Source organism: Homo sapiens, chromosome 1, assembly GCF_000001405.40.
Source record: "Homo sapiens chromosome 1, GRCh38.p14 Primary Assembly".
Lineage (NCBI taxonomy): Eukaryota > Metazoa > Chordata > Mammalia > Primates > Hominidae > Homo > Homo sapiens.
This window is the reverse complement of record NC_000001.11, coordinates 182,456,794-182,474,542: the sequence shown is the minus strand read 5'-3', so window position 1 is coordinate 182,474,542 and position 17,749 is coordinate 182,456,794. Positions and strand designations below refer to the sequence as shown.

General features: G+C 39.0%; 1 protein-coding gene across 14 annotated transcripts in view; it reads right to left on the bottom strand.

Moving 5' to 3' along the window:
* RGSL1 (regulator of G protein signaling like 1) overlaps nt 1–17,749 on the bottom strand; it is a 112,721-nt gene that overhangs the window by 86,055 nt on the left and 8,917 nt on the right. For 5 of the 14 annotated variants that reach the window (XM_017001193.3, XM_017001191.1, XM_017001192.3 and 2 more), the window contains exons 3-7: nt 16,150–16,237; nt 14,410–14,539; nt 3,157–3,261; nt 1,986–2,147; nt 1–968 (exon numbers count right to left, since the gene is read on the bottom strand). In XM_017001193.3, the coding sequence (XP_016856682.1) occupies nt 1–968; nt 1,986–2,147; nt 3,157–3,261; nt 14,410–14,539; nt 16,150–16,237 (1,453 nt within the window). Of the gene's footprint in view, nt 969–1,985; nt 2,148–3,156; nt 3,262–13,786; nt 13,920–14,409; nt 14,540–16,149; nt 16,238–17,749 lie in introns of those variants that run through there. The other 9 variants (XM_017001188.2, NM_001366934.1, XM_047419638.1 and 6 more) reach the window with 5 other exon arrangements.

Below are 17,749 nucleotides of genomic sequence, written 5' to 3'. Positions count from 1 at the left end.
CTTGCAAATCTCCTTCTGGGCTTTGGGAATCCAGGGGATCACATCCCCAGAGGGCAATAGTTCCTTCAGGCCCTGAATGGTTTGGGATTTGAGTGGTAAGCACGGACCAATCTGCTCATTCAGGTAGAGCTCGCAGATTCTGTCACCCAGCAAGTGACGAAAGATTGCATTCCCATTCTTTTTGTTATTCAGAAGGACACTGAGGAAATGCTGCAAGTCCTGCCAGAGGTCAAGAAGTTGGATCTCCACTTTCAAATTCAGCTTCTTCAGGTGGTCCCGGAAAGGGTTCCCTGCACAGGCATCAGCACACAAGGCCAAGTGGATGTATCCTAAGGAGAAGCTTTGCTTGATGGCCTTCTGAATTGTCATCTTGGAGGAGTGATTGACAATGGGGATGACAGTCCTCAGGTGGGTAGAGACCTTTGTCTCAAAGGGGGCTTCCATGTGGAGGTGGCTCTTGGCTTTATTCTCCATGCTGGATATTTTTGCATAATGCATATCCTTTTCCAGGGAACTGATTCTTGTTTCCTTTGAAGAAGCCATTTTCAGGGAAGGCATTTGTATAACCACCTTCTCTTGAGGACATGTCTCCTGTAGGGGCATACCAATAGCATCTGGCTTGAGATCCATTTCCAGAGACCAAGAGTCAGGATCTACCAATTGCCACATCTTCCTCTTGGCTTTCCTGCTTGAGTACCGTTTCTGAAAGTGGTGGCACTTCTTGATGCTCATGTTCAGAGGGAGCCCTCCTATGTGGGTGTAGCAAACGCTGTATAAGCGAGTCTCGTACTCTTGCATCAGACCATGGCATGCTTCCTCCTTGGCCATGGTCATCTTGGTGTGGGTGTAAAAGTTGGGAAGCCAATAGCTCTGGAGTTTGAACAGAGCCACTTTCTGCATGTGGCTCAGGATCTCCCTCCTAGTGGTTGATTGGTTGGGATGCCAGATGGAGAGGTTCAGGAGGGACTCTGGAAATAATACAGAGAAATCATGGGTGAAAATGATGGGATGATGGCAGTGATGATGGTGTTGGAGAGGTTTTTAATTTTTTTCAAATGTCTTTGTATATAGCATTTTATTAGTTCCTCATATAATCCTGGAGTATGAATAGTTTAAATATAGAGTCGACACATTTTTATGGTTTTCTCAGCACACAGGGATCCCTTTATCTTATTCTCCATAGAAATAAGCCATGCTATGGGATTCCTCTAGCTACTTTTTAGATTATTAAATGTTATTTTAAAGAAAAGCAAAAGCACAAGAAAAACGATTAAGAACAAGAGACATCTACATCTGAACAGGATTTTTGATGAAGAGGTTTGGACTGGATAAGTAGAACTAGCCCTGATTTTAATGTCATCAATTCTCAATTACCTATGTGAGTAGAGAGGAGTATGACTAACCCCAAACAGCACATCTTTTGGAGCACATTTGTATTTGAGTTAGGAATGCCTCATCATCTAATCAATGAACAAACAAGTATACATAAATCTTACATTCTAGAGAAGAAGTTGGCAAATTTTTATGTAAAGGGCCAGATGGTAAATATTTTGGCTTTGTAAATCACATAAAATTAGCCCTATGAAAATGTAAAAACGGTCTTAGCTCACAGGCCACATACAGTGCATTTGGCTGGTGGGCTGCAGTTTGTTCTAGAGAATCCCAATTAAAAAAATAAAATTACAAAAGTACATAGACTTAAATGTTACAGGTGCTTTTCAAGTATCCTGCCCCAATTCCTCCCCGCTCCTTCCAGCCAGCCTTCATTGGCAGGTAGTATCTTAGAGAGAGGCAAGTGCCAGCTTAAGGACAACTGTGTCTTTCAATACTTTCCTGGTTAAGGGTTGGGGTTGCCACTAGCCTCTCTGATACATAGAAGATGGAAAGAAGGTGGGGTTTCCTGCAAAGAAGGAGACTGAGGATTATCAGACACTGGATTTACTTTTTTGTTGCATCCCCCCAAAAAGATGCTTTATAATTCTTACTGATGTTCATGTTACAGAGGGTTACCACCCTGGAGCCCTCCTGCAGATGAGTGGCCCTCAGCATGAGGAGGAGGGACAGGTAGTAGTCTCTCACTTCCAGGTCCATCTCATCTATGCTCAGGATGTTCTCAGCAAGGATCCAGAAATCCACCAATTCTTCACCTACGGGTGAGACAGAAGAGGCACAGAGCTATACCCTAGTTTTGCCCCTTTGGTGGTTGCATCTGGGTGAATCAACTGACATCCCCCACCAGCCTGTTCCACTGCATCAATCATCATTCCTGGTGATTGGTTCAAGGTATCATCTCTAGAAAAGTTCTACTGTGGGGGAGAATTGGAGGCATGGGGAGAAGAGGCTTAATGCATGGGAATCCTTTGACTTTTTGTTGCTGGTGTTAGAAAAACCATCACTGGAGGGAAAACTGCAAGACTCTGGGGGAGGATTATGAAGTAATTAAATTTTGTCCAAAAAAAATGAAGATTGGGGAAAAAAACCACATTTCCTAGATCATGGACTGAGAATGGCCTGCAGAAGGACACTGGAGCCAAAAGATGCCAAAGACTACATTCCCTTTTGTTAAAACTTGGCCAGGCCTGAACTCTGAGTGGCAAAGTGAAAGATGTAGTCCATCTAGTTCTTCCCTACCTGCTCCTTGGAGATCCAGGATTTCACCCTTAAAATTAGGGCTAAGGCCTGGATGAAACTTAATGTTGTTGAGCTGGAGTGTCAGCCAGGGCCAGCTACCAGCCTCCCAGAACCCAGTAACTACTGGACCCAATAGAACAGAAGCCAGTCTTCCCATCACTCCCACTACAGGGATTTGTTTACGTGTTCCTTGTCCATCTCCCCACCAAAATGGCAGCTTTGTGAAGCAGGGACTTATGGCTCTTGTTCACCTTTGTAACCCAACCTACCAGGCCAGTGGCTGCCACATAGCAGTGCTTAATGACACTGTTAAATGAATGAATGAATAAACGAGTAAAAGGGACTCTGACTACCTTTCCCTTAACCTACACTATGGACCTCAGTTTTCAAAGATTTTTATCCAAACTGCATTATTAAACATGTTTATATTCAACACAGACACACATAATTGTTAACTGGGGCTTAGGGCAATCTGAAAACCATTAGGAACTTGCAAAAGCCCCAGGAACAACCCCAAGAACCCACCTGCACTGCCTGTGAGGTAGGAATAGAAGCGCCACATCCCTCTGACCCCGCCAATGCATTTCTGGAGTAGCCACTGGTCTGCCTTTTTCCATCTCATCATCTTGGCTGCCAGGAAAATTCCACCATAAGAGAGGGAGAATGAACTCTTCCCCTGACCCCTCTCCCAGCCTTGCACACTGCCAGACCCCCATTTGTTTAATGTAGTGAGGACAAATTGTGACCAGTTAGATGAGCAGGGTCCAGATTATGTGGTGCTTTTGAAGCTGGGCACCATCTGGTGACATGTGTTAAGGTTCATGGGAGGGACCCACAAGCATGCACACAATTCACATAAACACCCTCCAACCAAAGCCCCTTCCCTTCTGCAGTCTCAACCTGACAGGGACTTTGCCCTTAGTGTGCATTTTAATCCATCTTTACCTACATATATATTGAAGGGGGTTAGTTGAATATAGCAGGTGATTTCTTACAACATTTTACTCTGTGAATACTCCTGAATCTTAAATTTTCCTGGGGTGAAACATATTTAGTTTCCTTTCCCTAGTGAGCCAAAAGTTACTAATTCAACTTTAGATGAAAATTTTATTCATTCATTCTTTCAGTACATGTTTATTAAATGCCTACCAAGTATCAGGTACCAATATAGGTGCTTGAAATACATCAGCAAACAGAACAAAAAATCCCTGCCTCCAAGGAATCTATATTCTTGTGAAGGAGACAGGCACACAATAAGCATAATAAATAAGTACATTATCTAGTGAGGTTGAAGGTTATAATCAGAATAGAAAAAATGTGGAACGGGATAAAAGAAATTGGTAGTGGTTCAATGAGGAGACAAGATTTGTACAAAGGGTTGAGGAGGTGAGAGAGGGAGCCATGTGAGTATCTACGGAAAGAGCATTCTGGGTAGAGGAAAAAGCCAGTGCAAAGCCTTTAAGTGGAAATGTGTCCAGCATGTTTGAGGAATTGCAAGGAGGCCAATGTGACTGGAATGGAATGAGTGAGGGGAGGGAAGTAGGAAGAGATGAGATAAGAGAGGAAATGGGGCCAGTTCTCTAGGATCTTGAAGGTCACTGTAGGGGTGTTGAATTTCTCACTGACACAGGAGTCATTGGTAGTATTGGGGGTGTTGAGAAGCAGTGGGGACAGTGAGAAAAGGAGTAATATGATCTGAAATACATTTTTTTCCAATATTTTTATTGTGGGAGAGTACATATAACATAACGTTTACCATCTTAACTATTTTTAAATGTACGGTTTAGTGGTGTTAAATGTATTAATAATTTTGTACAACCATCATGACCATCCGCCTCCAAAATTCTTTTCATCTTGCAAAACTGAAACTCTTTACTCATTAAACAGTCACTGCCTATTTCCCCCCTCCTCCCAGCTCCTGACAACCACCATTCTACTTCTTTCTCTATGACTTTGACTATCCTAAGTACCTCATATAAGTGAAATCATACAGTATTTGTCTTTCTGTGACTGGCTTACTTCAATTAGCATGTCTTCAGGATTTATTCATGTTGTAGTCTGTCATAATTTCCTTTTTATGGCTGAATAATATTCCATTGTGCATATATATATATTTAAAATCTCACATTTTGCTTATCCATTCATCCATTGATGGTTTCTTGGACTGTTTCCACACTTAACTATTGTGAATAATGCTCCTATGGACATGGATGTACAAATATCTCTCCAGACCCTGCTTTCAATTCTTTTGAGGTATACTCAGAAGTTAAATTGCTGGACCATATGGTAATTCTATTTTTAATTTTTGAGAAACCTCCATGCTATTTTCCACAGTTTGTACCATTTTACAGTCCCGCCAACAAATGCAAAAGAGTTCCAATTTCTCCACATCCTCACCAACGCTTGTTATCTTATTTTTTTTGGTACACAATGGGTGTGCAATGGTATCTCATTATAGTTTTGATTTGTGTTTCCCTAATGATTAGTCCCGTAGAGCATCTTTTCATGTGCTATTGGCTATCTGTATATCTTCTTTGGAGGAATGTTTTGTTTAATTAAGTCTTTTCCCTATTTTTGAATCATGTTGCTCTTTGTTGTTGTTGAGTTTTAGGTGTTCTCCATATATTCTGGATATCAATCCTTTCTCAGATATATGATTTTGAAGTATTTTCTTCCATTCTTTAGGCTGCCTTTTTACTTTTGATAGTATCTTTTGATGCACAAGTTTTTTGATTTTTTATGAAGCCCAATTCTTTGTTGTTGCTTCTTCCTTTCCTGTCATATCCAAGACATCACTGCCAAATCCAATGTTGTGAACATTTTGTCCTCCATAAGTTTTTTCATGAGTTTTATAGTTTTATGCCTTAAATTTAGGTCTTCAATCCATTTTGAGTTAATTTTCATATAGGGTGTTATGTAAGGGTCCAATTTCATTATTTCGCACGTGGACATCCAGTTTACCCAGGACTGTTTGTTGAAAAGATGGTCCTTTCCCCATTGAATGGTCTTGGCACCCTTGTCAAAAATCATTTTACCATATATGTGAGGGTTTATTTCCAGGCTTTTTATTCTACTCTGTCTTTCCATATGTCTGCATTTATGCCACCACACTGTTTTTTATTTATTTATTTTTATTTTATTTTATTTTTATTATACTTTAAGTTTTAGGGTACATGTGCACAATGTGCAGGTTTGTTACATATGTATACATGTGCCATACTGGTGTGCTGCACCCATTAACTCATCATTTAACATTAGGTAGATCTCCTAATGCTATCCCTCCCCCTCAACCCTACAACAGGCCCCAGGGTGTGATGTTCCCCTTCCTGTGTCCAAATATTCTCATTGTTCAATTCCCACCTATGAGTGAGAACATGCGGTGTTTGGTTTTTTGTCCTTGCGATAGTTTGCTGAGAATGACACTTTCCAGCTTCATCCATGTCCCTACAAAGGACATGAACTCATCATTTTTTATGGCTGCATAGTATTCCATGGTGTATATGTGCCACATTTTCTTAATCCAGTCTATCATTGTTGGACATTTGGGTTGGTTCCAAGTCTTTGCTATTGTGAATAGTGCTGAAATAAACATACGTGTGCATGCGTCTTTATAGTAGAATGATTTATAATCCTTTCAGTATGTACCCAGTAATGGGATGGCTGGGTCAAATGGTATTTCTAGTTCTAGATCCCTGAGGAATCACCACACTGACTTCCACAATGGTTGAACTAGTTTACAGTCCCACCAACAGCGTAAAGTGTTCCTATTTCTCCACATCCTCTCCAGCACCTGTTGTTTCCTGACTTTTTAATGATCGCCATTCTAACTAGTGTAAGATGTTATCTCATTGTGGTTTTGATTTGCATTTCTCTGATGGCCAGTGATGATGAGCATTTTTTCATGTTGTCTTTGGCTACATAAATGTCTTCTTTTGAGAAGTGTCTGTTCATAGCCTTTGCCGACTTGTTGATGGGGCTGTTTGTTTTTGTCTTGTAAATTTGTTTGAGTTCATTGTAGATTCTGGATATTAGCCCTTTGTCAGATGAGTAGATTGCAAAAATTTTCTTCCATTCCGTAGGTTGCCTGTTCACTCTGATGGTAGTTTCTTTTGCTGTGCAGAAGCTCTTTAGTTTAATTAGATCCTGTTTGTCAATTTTGGCTTTTATTGCCATTGCTTTTGGTGTTTTAGACATGAAGTCCTTGCCCATGCCTATGTTCTGAATGGTATTGCCTAGGTTTTCTTCTAGGATTTTATGGTTTTAGGTCTAACATTTAAGTCTTTAATCCATCTTGAATTAATTTTTGTATAAGGTGTAAGAAAGGGATCCAGTTTCAGCTTTCTGCATATGGCTAGCCAGTTTTCCCAGCACCATTTATTAAATAGGGAATCCCTTCCCCATTTCTTGTTTTTGTCAGGTTTGTCAAAGATCAGATAGTTGTAGATATGTGGCATTATTTCTGAGGGCTCTGTTCTGTTCCGTTGGTCTATATCTCTGTTTTGGTACCAGTACCATGCTGTTTTGATTACTGTAGCCTTGTGGTATAGTTTGAAGTCAGATAACATGATGCCTCCAGCTTTGTTCTTTTGGCTTAGGATTGACTTGGCGATGAGGGCTCTTTTTTGGTTCCATATGAACTTTAAAGCAGTTTTTTTCCAATTCTGTGAAGAAAGTCATTGGTAGCTTGATGGGGATGGCATTGAATCTATAAATTACCTTGGGCAGTATGGCCATTTTCACGATATTGATTCTTCCTACCCATGAGCATGGAATGTTCTTCCATTTGTTTGTGTCCTCTTTTATTTCATTGAGCAGTGGTTTGTAGTTCTCCTTGAAGAAGTCCTTCACATCCATTGTAAGTTGGATTCCTAGGTATTTTATTCTCTTTGAAGCAATTGTGAATGGGAGTTCACTCATGATTTGGCTCTCTGTTTGTCTGTTATTGGTGTATAAGAATGCTTGCACCACACTGTGTTGATTGCTGTAAACTTGTAGTAAGTTTTGAAATCAGAAGGTGAGTCCTGCAGCTTTTTTGAAATTTTTTCAAAATTGTTATGGCTGTTTGGAGTTCCTTGGAAATTTTAGGATTGACGTTTCTATTTCTGCAAAAGATGTCATTGAGATTTTGATAGAGATTGCATGAATCTGTACATTGTTTTGGGTTGTATTGGCATGTTAACAACATTAAGTTTTCCAGTCCATAAATAAACATCAGAGGCATTTGTTTATGTCTTCTTTAATTTCTTTCAGCAATGTTTTGTAGTTTTTATTGTGCAAGTCTTTCACCTCCTTAAGTGAATTCCTAAGTATTTTATTCTTTTTAATGCTATTATTTAATGAAATTGTTCACATAATTTTCCTTTCAGGTTGTTCATTGTAAGCGTATGGAAGTGCAACTGATTTTTTGTTTTGTTTTGTTTTTGACTTTGTATCCAGCTACTTTGCTGGATTCATTTCTTAGTTCTAACAGTTTTTTTATGTGTGGAATCTTTGGATTTTTCTACAAAATACTACATTATCTGCAAATGAAGATCATTTGACCTCTTTCTTTCCAATTAAGATGTCTCTTATTTTTCCTTCTTCTTTTGGCCGAATTGCTCTGGTGAGAGTTTCCAGTATGGTGTGAAATAGAATTAGTGAAATCAGGCATTTCCTATTCCTGATCTTAGAGGAAAAGCTTTCAGTTTTTTGTCATTGAGTATGATGTTCACTGTGGGTTTTTCATATGTAGCTTTTATTATGTTTAGATAGTTTCTTCTTAATCCTAGTTCGTTGGACATTTTTTTTTCATGAAAGGGTGTTGTATTTTGTCAAATGCTTTTTCTGCATCTATTGAGATGATTATGTAGTTTTCTTCTTTCATTCTGTTAATGTGGTATATTACATTCATTCATTTTCGTATATTGAGGTGTCCTTGCATTCCAGGAAAAATATCCCTTTTGGTCATGGTGTTTAATCCTTTTAATATACTGTTGAATGTGGTTTGCTAGTATTTCATTGCAGACTTTTGCATCAATGTTCATCAGGAATATTGGCCTATACTTTTCTTTTCTTATAGTGCCTTGTTTGGCTTTAGTATCAGGGTAATGCTGGCCTCAAAGAAGGAGTGAGAAAGTGATCCTGCCTCTTCAATCTTTTGGAACAGTTTAAGAAGAATTAGTATTAATTCTTCTTTAAATGTTTGGGGTATAAGTCACCAGTAAAACCATCAGGTCCAGGACTTTTCTTTGTCAGGAGATTGTAGATTACTGTTTTAATCTCTTTGCTAGTTATAGGTCTACTCAGATTTTTATTATTATTATTATATTTTAAGTTCTAGGGTACATGTGCACAATGTGCAGGTTTGTTACACATGTATACATGTGCCATGTTGGTGTGCTGCACCCATTAACTCGTCATTTACATTAGGTATATCTCCTAATGCTATCTCTGCCCCTCCCCCCACCCCATGATAGGCCCCGGTGTGTGATGTTCCCCTTCCTGTGTCCAAGTGTTCTCATTGTTCAATTCCCACCTATGAGTGAGAACATGCGGTGTTTGGTTTTTTGTCCTTGAGATAGTTTGCTGAGAATGATGGTTTCCAGCTTCATCCATGTCCCTACAAATACATGAACTCATCCTTTTTTATGGCTGCATAGTATTCCATTCTACTCAGATTTTCTATATCTTTTGATTTAGCATTAGTAGATTTTGTGTTTCTAGGAATCCTTCTATCTCATCTAGGCTACCAAATTTGTTGGTGTACAATTGTTCAGAGTACTCTTCTATAATCCTTTTTATTTCTGTAGAATTGATAGTAATGTCCCCACTTTCACTTTATTATTATTATTATTATAAGATAGGGTCTTGCTCTGTTACCTAGGCTGGAGTGCAGTGGCATATCAAATGCCTCATTACAGCCTCAAACTCCTGGGCTCAAGCAATCCTCGTTCCTCAGCTAGTACTATAGGTGCATGACACCTGTCTGGATTTTTTATTTTTATTTTTTGTGAATACTGGGTCTCATTATGTTGCCCAGGCTGGTCTTGAACTTGTGGCCTCAAGCAATCCTCTCATCCTAGCTTTGTAGAGTTCTGGGATCACAGGCATGAACCATCATGTCAAGACTCATTTTGAATTTAGTGATCTATAGTCTTTTTTAGTAATTATTAAGTCTTCTCTTTTTCTTTTCTTTTTTTTTTTTTCTTCTGAGCAGAGTCTTGCTCTGTCAGCTAGGCTAGAGTGCAATGGCATGATCATGGCTCACTGCAACCTCTGCCTCCCGGGTTCAAGTGATTCTCCTGCCTCAGCCTCCCAAGTAGCTGGGATTACAGGATCCCGCCAACATGCCTAGATAATTTTTGTATTTTTAGTAGAGACAGGTTTTCACCATGTTGGCCAGGCTGGTCTCGAGCTCCTGACCTGAGGTGATCCACCCCCTAAGGCCTCCCAAAGTGCTGGGATTACAGGCGTGAGCCACCACCCCCGGCCAGTCTTCTGTTTTTCTTAATCCACTTAACTAAAGGTTTATTTTGCTGACTTTTTCAAAGGACCAATTTTTGATCTCACTGATTTTCTCTATTTCATGTTATTTACTGTAATCTTTATTATTTCTTTTCTTCTGCTAGCTCTGGGTTTAATTTGCTGTTCTTTTTCTAGAGCCTTAAGTTGTAAAGTTGTGTTATTTGAGATTTTTCTTTTTAAAATGTAAACATAGCTATAAATTTTCCCATTAACACTGCTTTTATTTTATCCCATAAGTTTTGTTGTTTTCATTTCCATTTATCTGTAAGTATTTTCTAATTTCCCTTGTAATTTTTTCTTTGATCCATTGTTTAATACTGTGTTAATTTCCACAATTTTGTGAATTTTCTACTTTAACTTCTGTTATTTATTTCTAATTTCATCCTTTTGTGGTCAGAGAAGATACTTTGTATGTTGTCTTTTAAAATCTGTTGAGAATTTCTGGCCTAATATATAATCTATCCCAGAAAATGTTCCATGTGCACTTGAGAAGAATGTGTATGCTGTTGTTGTTGAGTAGAGTGTCCTGTATATGTCTTTTAGATCTAGCTAGTTTAATGTATTGTTGAAGTCTCTATTTCCTAACCTATCTTCTGTCTTACTATTCTATTCATTATTAAGAGTGGGTATTAAAGTCTCCAATGATTATTTTAGGATTGTCTATTTTCTCTTTCAGTTCTGTCCATTTTTGCTTCATATATTTTGAGGGTCTGTCATTAGGTGTGTAGATGTTTATAGTTGTTACATCTTGATATGTTGAAACTTGCATTAACAAGTAATGTCCTTCTTTGTCTCTTGTAAACTTTTTTTAAAACTTAAAGTCTATTTTGGAAGGGGAGGGAAGACAGTGTAGGATAAAAATAAATAAATTAAATAAAGTCTATTTTGTCTGATATCATTATAGGCACCCCTGCTTTCTTTTGGTTACTATTTACATGGAATATTTTTTCCATCCATTCATTTTCAATCTATGTCTTTGACTCTAAAGTGAGTCTCTTACAGACAGCATGTAATTGGATCTTGCTTTAAAATTTATTCTGCCAATCTCTGTCTTTTTATTGGAAAGTTTAATCCATTTACAGTTAAAGTTAATTTCCTTTTTTTTTTTTTTTTTTGAGATGGAGTCTTGCTCTGTCGCCCAGGCTGGAGTGCAGTGGCGTGATCTCCACTCACTGCAAGCTCCGCCTCCCAGGTTCATGCCATTCTCCTGCCTCAACTTCCCAAGTAGGTGGGACTACAGGCGCCTGTCACCATTCCCGGCTAATTTTTTTGTATTTTTAATAGAGACGGGGTTTCACCGTGTTAGCCAGGATGGTCTCGATCTCCTGACCTCATGATCCGCCCGTCTCAGCCTTCCAAAGTTCTGGGATTACAGGCATGAGCCACCACGCCCAGCCTGAAGTAATTTACTATTAAGAAGAAACATGTCATTCTGTTATTTGCTTTCTATACACCTTATAGCTCTTTTGTTCTGCGTTACCAGGATTATTGTCTTCTTTTGTGTTTAATTGATTTTTTGGTGAAACATTTAAATTCCTTTGTCATTTCCTTTTGTGTAAATTCTGTAGCTATTTTCCTTGCAGTTATCATGAAGATTACATTTAACATTGTAAGTTTATAACACTCTAAGTTGATTTATATCAGCTTAATTTCAGTCACAGACAAAAACTTTGCTTCTTTGACAGCTCTAACTCCACCTCTTTTGGTTGTTGATGTCACAAAATTACATTGTGTTCCCCAAAATATAAACTAATAATTAATTAATGTGCATTAATATCTTAAATTATGTGGAAAACAAAATTTAATGTGGAGTTACCAACCAAAGTTACATTAATACTATCTTTTAGACGAGTAGTTATTCTTTTAAAACATATATTAATCTCTTAAATCTTGAAAAAACAAAAAAGGGCAGTTATAAATCATTACAATGATGATAGCTTTTAAATATTATTTTATTATGATTTTATGATGTTAGTATTATATTTATTTTTATTGAGATCTTTACTACATATGGCTTCAAGTTACTGTCTAGTGTTCTTTCATTTCACCCTGCAGGACTCTCTTGAGCATTTCTTGCGGGAAAGCTCCCTCAACTTTTGTTTATCTGGGAATATCTTAATTTCATCCTTGCTTTAGAAGGACAGTTTTGTTGAATACAGGATTCTTGGTTATTTTTTTTTCTTTTAGAACTTTGAATATATCAACCTACTGCCTGCTGGACTCCACAGTTTCTGATGAGAAATCTGCTTATAATCTTATGAATATCCTTTGTAAAGTGATGAATAATTTCTCTCTCTTACTGTTTTCAACATTCTCTCTCTGTCTTTGGCATTCAAGAGTATAATATGTCTTGGTGTGGATCTCTTTGAGTTCATCTTACTTGGAGTTCATTGGGCTCTTTGAGGTCTATATTCATGTCTTCCATCAAGTTTGAGAGGTTTTTAGCCATTATATATTCAAATATTCTCTTTGCACCTTTCTTTCTCTACTCTTTTTCTAGACTTCCATAATGTATGTGTGTGTTGGCCTGCCTGATGGTGCCCCACAAGTCCCATCAAGGGTCTCTGTTCAGTTTTCTTTAAACTTTTTTCTTTCTGTCCCTCAGATTTAATAGTTTCTACTGTCCTATCTTCTGGTTTACTGATTCTTTCTTTTGCCTGCTCTAATCTGCCTTTAAATCTTTCTAGTAGAATTTTCATTTTAGTTGTGCTTTTCAGCTACAGAATTACTTTTGTTTTTTTAAGGTTTTTCTCTGTATTAATATTTCCATTTTGTTCATTTATCACTTTCTTGACTTTCTCTACATCTTCCTTTAGTTCTTTGACCATATTTAAGGCAGTTGTTTTAAAGTCTTTATCTAGTAGATCTGCCATCAGAGCTCTCTCAAGGACAGCTTCTTTAGGTTTATCTTTATTTTCTTTAAATTGACCATACTTTCCTCTTTGTGTGCCTTCTGATTTTTTTTTGTTAAAAACTGAATATTTGAACCTAATGATGTGTTAACTCTGGAAATCAGATTCCCTCCTTTTCACAGAGTTTGCTGGGGGGGTTTTTGTTGTTAATTTTGTTAGTTGTTATTATTATTATTATTATTACTGTAGGATATCTCTGTGCCAAGAATTGGCCTGAGGCATAAATTTATCTCCCTATATCTTTTCTGAGCCTGCAACTTTCTTTAAGCATAGGCAGTTACTTTCTAATTTTCTCCATATATGCAGTTGTTTTTGAATGCCCTAATCCTTAAGATCTGCCTCCCAAAAAGAAAAAAAAAAGAGAAAAATGAAGAAGGGGGAAGATGTCAGCTCTGTAAATCCCCTAAAAATCACTTCAGCTAGAGGGAGAGGGGCTTACAACAAAGGGAAAGTATAACAATGTGTGCCCACGTCTTTGCCTGTACTTCTGTGATCAGAAGTAGCAATCGGAGCACAGATCCTTAATATTTGGAAGACAAGATTCTTTTTGCCCACCCTGGCTCCTGTAAGCTGCCCCAGGAACATGTGCACAACTGTGTGCCATGGGGCTGGGGTTGAGGGTAAGTAGCTGCCACTGTGCAAAGAGCTGAAATTGAATGAGATCAACTACAATTTACTGTCTAAAGTTTCCCCCCAAACATTGCAAGTTTCAATAGACTCTAGAGTTTCAAAATATTTACATCATACAGATTCTGCCAGTACAATTGTTGTCTAGATGAGGAAACAGATTCCTAGTGCTTCCTATTTCATCATCTTCCTGGGAGTCCCTCCAGCACCACCACCAATTACTTTTTAAGAGGCTCACTCTGGCTTCTATGAGGAAGAGAGCAAGAGCAAAAGCAAAGAGACAAATTAAGAGATGATTTCATTAACTAGGTAAGAAATTCTGGAGGCTTAAACCAGTTGGTAGTAATGAAGGTGGTGAAATCTGTTGGTTCTAAATTAGGCAATTTTACTATGTTCTGCGGCCACCATTAATTTTCTCATTTCTGGCTACAGTGAGATAAACAGCCCAGTCCATCAGATTCCTGCATATTTCTCTTGATACCAATATTTCAGGCTAAGAGTTTACCTATTGCCAAAACATGGGCTGGGATATGCACATATCTATAAATTCAGCCAGTATTTGTACCTTACTATAGTACTGACAGGCATAAGATCATTATGAAGTGTGACTTCCTATATTTCTACACACACACACACACACATACAGGCATAAGATTATTATGAAGTGTGACTTCCTATATTTCTACACACACACACACACACACACACAGACACACGCATGCACACCAATGCTTACCTCCTTCTGGGGACTTAATGAAACTGATGAACTCCTGACAGAGAATGTAATGGAAACACAAGTTTGTTTTACAGAAGAAAGGTAATCGGCATTTTTCCAACCAGGTCAATAACCCTTTGTATTTGGCAATCTAGAGTCAAAGCAAAATAGAAACAAAAATGCTAAGTGAAACCGAACTGCTAAAAAAATACAACTTAGTAAGTGGCAACTAATCACCTCACACTTGCAGTGTCTGGCCAGAAGGATAGGTGTGTTGATTAAAAACAATTTCTATAAACCTGGAACCTGGACTTAAGAAAAAGAAGTATCAAAGAGGAGCAGAGACTTGCAAAGAAGTAAATGGATCTGTAGAAAATAAAAAGCTTGATCTTTCATGAAAAAATTCTTTCTTATCCCTGAGTGAAGTTGTTAAAGAAAAAATCTAAGTCTCGCTTGACAGAAGAAAAGCAGAAAAGATTTGGGTCTGTGGTGTCAGATCATAACTCTATTCAACTTGCTTCTTTGTAAACACACTCATAATTTCTAACAAGCTCCTAACCCCTATCAATTGCACTATATGTACAAAAACAAAATTCACACATAGCATCATTTAGAATACAGGATATATTCTGAAGGATCAAGCCACAGAGAAAGGAGGTAATTTTTTTCAGCTTTCAGGGTTATCCTTGGGAAATCAAACATAAGCTTCAGAATAGAATGTCTCTTCTCAACTCTCCAGAACTCAGGGAAAGCGAAACCTTGTTGTTATCAGGGTTTAGAGTGGTCTGTCTGATTCTACATGCCCCCTTGTAGGGGATGTGGAAGCCATTGGTAAGTCTAAGGTCTACATAGTGGAAAAGGAAAACAGGAGTGGGGACAAGGGGAAAAATAAGAAAAAAGAAAAAGGGCATAAAGAAAAAAATTGGGAGAAAAACATGCCTCTGGAGAATAGTGGAGTAGTCACTAGAAATTGCAGAGAAGCATCTTATCTTGATGTATATCTGATAATGCATACTGACAATAATTATGTGGCCCATGGGCTGCCACTTCCCATCCCACACCCATTGCAGACATTGCCAGTCAATTCCCAGACTCTTTCTTGCTTAGAAGTGCCCTTAAAGTTCTTCTCAGGACAGTTTCCCAAGTGTCTAACCTATCACGGTAGATGTGAGAATCCCATTTGCTAACTATGGGCTAGAATATAATGGAAATAATTCACCAGCAATTGCTTGGATAAGAGGTAAAAAATGTAAAAAGGAGAAATGTAGACCTGGATTGATGCTGTCTGTTCTACTCACCTGCTTTACAGTTTCTCCTATAGTTACCCTCTGGACCTCCTCTTTTTCTCCCTCTCCCAATTCACATTTCAAGTAGTTCCCTCAGGCCAGGCACGGTGGCTCAGGCCTGTAATCCCAGCAATTTGGGAGGCCGAGGCGGGTGAATTGCTAGAGCTCAGTAGCTCAAGACCAGCCTGGGCAACATGGTGAAACTCCGTCTCTACCAAAAATACAAAAAATTAGCCAGGCACAGTGGCATGTGCCTGTGTGGTCCCAGCTATTTGGGAGGCTTAGGTGGGAGGATTGCTTGAGCCAGGGAGGCAAAGGTTGCAGTGAGCTAAGATCGCATCACCGCACTGCAGCCTGGGTGACAGAATGAGACCCCATCTCCAAAACAAAAACAAAAACAAATTAACAACAAAAAACAATTATAGTTCCCTCATTCTCCACCCTAAACTCTCTACCTCTGAAGAATTTTACTCACCAAGTTACAAGGTATTTCTGGCCACAAGCTCCACTGTGAATTTTCAACAGTATAAAATGGTGTCTGACCAAAAACCTGCAAAACAAAGCTAGGAAACAGTCAAGGGAGTAGAGCTTCTCTTCATGTATATGACACAGTCCCTCTACAGCCACAGAGGAAGGGAGGTTCCATGGCTCTTTTATTTCAAGGGACACTAATTCTTAAATTTATTCTACTCCATCAACTTGCCCTGCACACATGCAAACAAGCTCTAAACAGACTGAATTGCACGATTCACTCATCTTTTGGCTCCACCACGCCCCAACCTGGGAGCTATCTTTCCTGTGGAGCCTGAGCCGACCTGAGAGCTATTTGCTTGTGTGCAAAGGCCAAGGCCCATGATATTAGAACATATTTACTTTGTGTACTCAGTATTCACTTTTCTCCCTGGACTTAGCAAATGTCTAAAATGTTTTCCCAGTGAAAAATAGCTTTGGGTTTACCTAAACTGGAGAAGATAGAGAGGACTAAAGATGTGGAGACTGGGGATACAAATTACACAGGGAGGCATTGAGAGTGTCCAAAATTGATAATGTAATTCTAGGATACCATCCCCTTTTGTCATGGAAAAGAGACTGTCACCTAGGCAACCCCCTTTGAAATGGATGGGAAAGGACTTCTATGTTTACAGGTATGTAAACTTAAGCAGTCTCATCATGGGCAACAAAATGTCTTCAAAGTGTCCCAGAAGTATTTGCAGAAAACTAGACGGGCTGAAGCTCCAATTACTGGCTGAACTCTCAGCACATCATGTCAGTCTGACCATCTCCCCTAGATGAACAGCCTCACACTTTTGTTAGTCTATGGCCCTCTTCCCTCAATCCCATTTGTCCCTTGTCACTGGCTGTGAGGTGCTGAAGGAAGGTGATGTTGCTGTCTGCATGTTACAATTGTAAGTCTGTAAAGGAGACTCAGTCCTTAGGGATCTCTCTCTGCTCTGCACTCAGTGTGTAACACAACACACACTGAGTGGGGTGTTAAGCTACCTTTAAGGAGTGGCAGTAGGACTGTGAAGTTATGAGATTATGTGGGAGTGGGGTTTGGAAGCAGTTTCACTACCCGACATTTATACCATAGAGGGCACAGGCTAATGTGGAAAACACATCAGGCCTGGAGCCAGCAGACCTGGTCAGCTCCTAGAACCGCCCTAGATTCACTGTGTGATCTTAGGCATATCATTTAACTTTTTTGTTTGTTTGTTTGTTTTTGAGATGGAGTCTGGCTCTGTCACCTGGGCTGGAGTGCAGTGGAATGATCTCGGCTCACTGCAACCTCCGCCTCCTGTGTTCAAGTGATTCTCCTACCTCAGCCTCCCTAGTAGCCGGGATTACAGGCATGCGCCACCATACCTAGCTAATTTTTATATTTTCAGTAGAGATGGGGTTTCATCATGTTGGCCAGGATGGTCTTGAACTCTTGACCTCAAGTGATCTGCCTGCCTCGCCCTCCCAAAGTGCTGGGATTACAGCAAATCATTTAACTTCTGAGATCCGTTGGTAAAAAGGGAAAATACTTCCTACTTCACACGGTGACTATGGGAATTAAGTGGTAGAAATTTGTA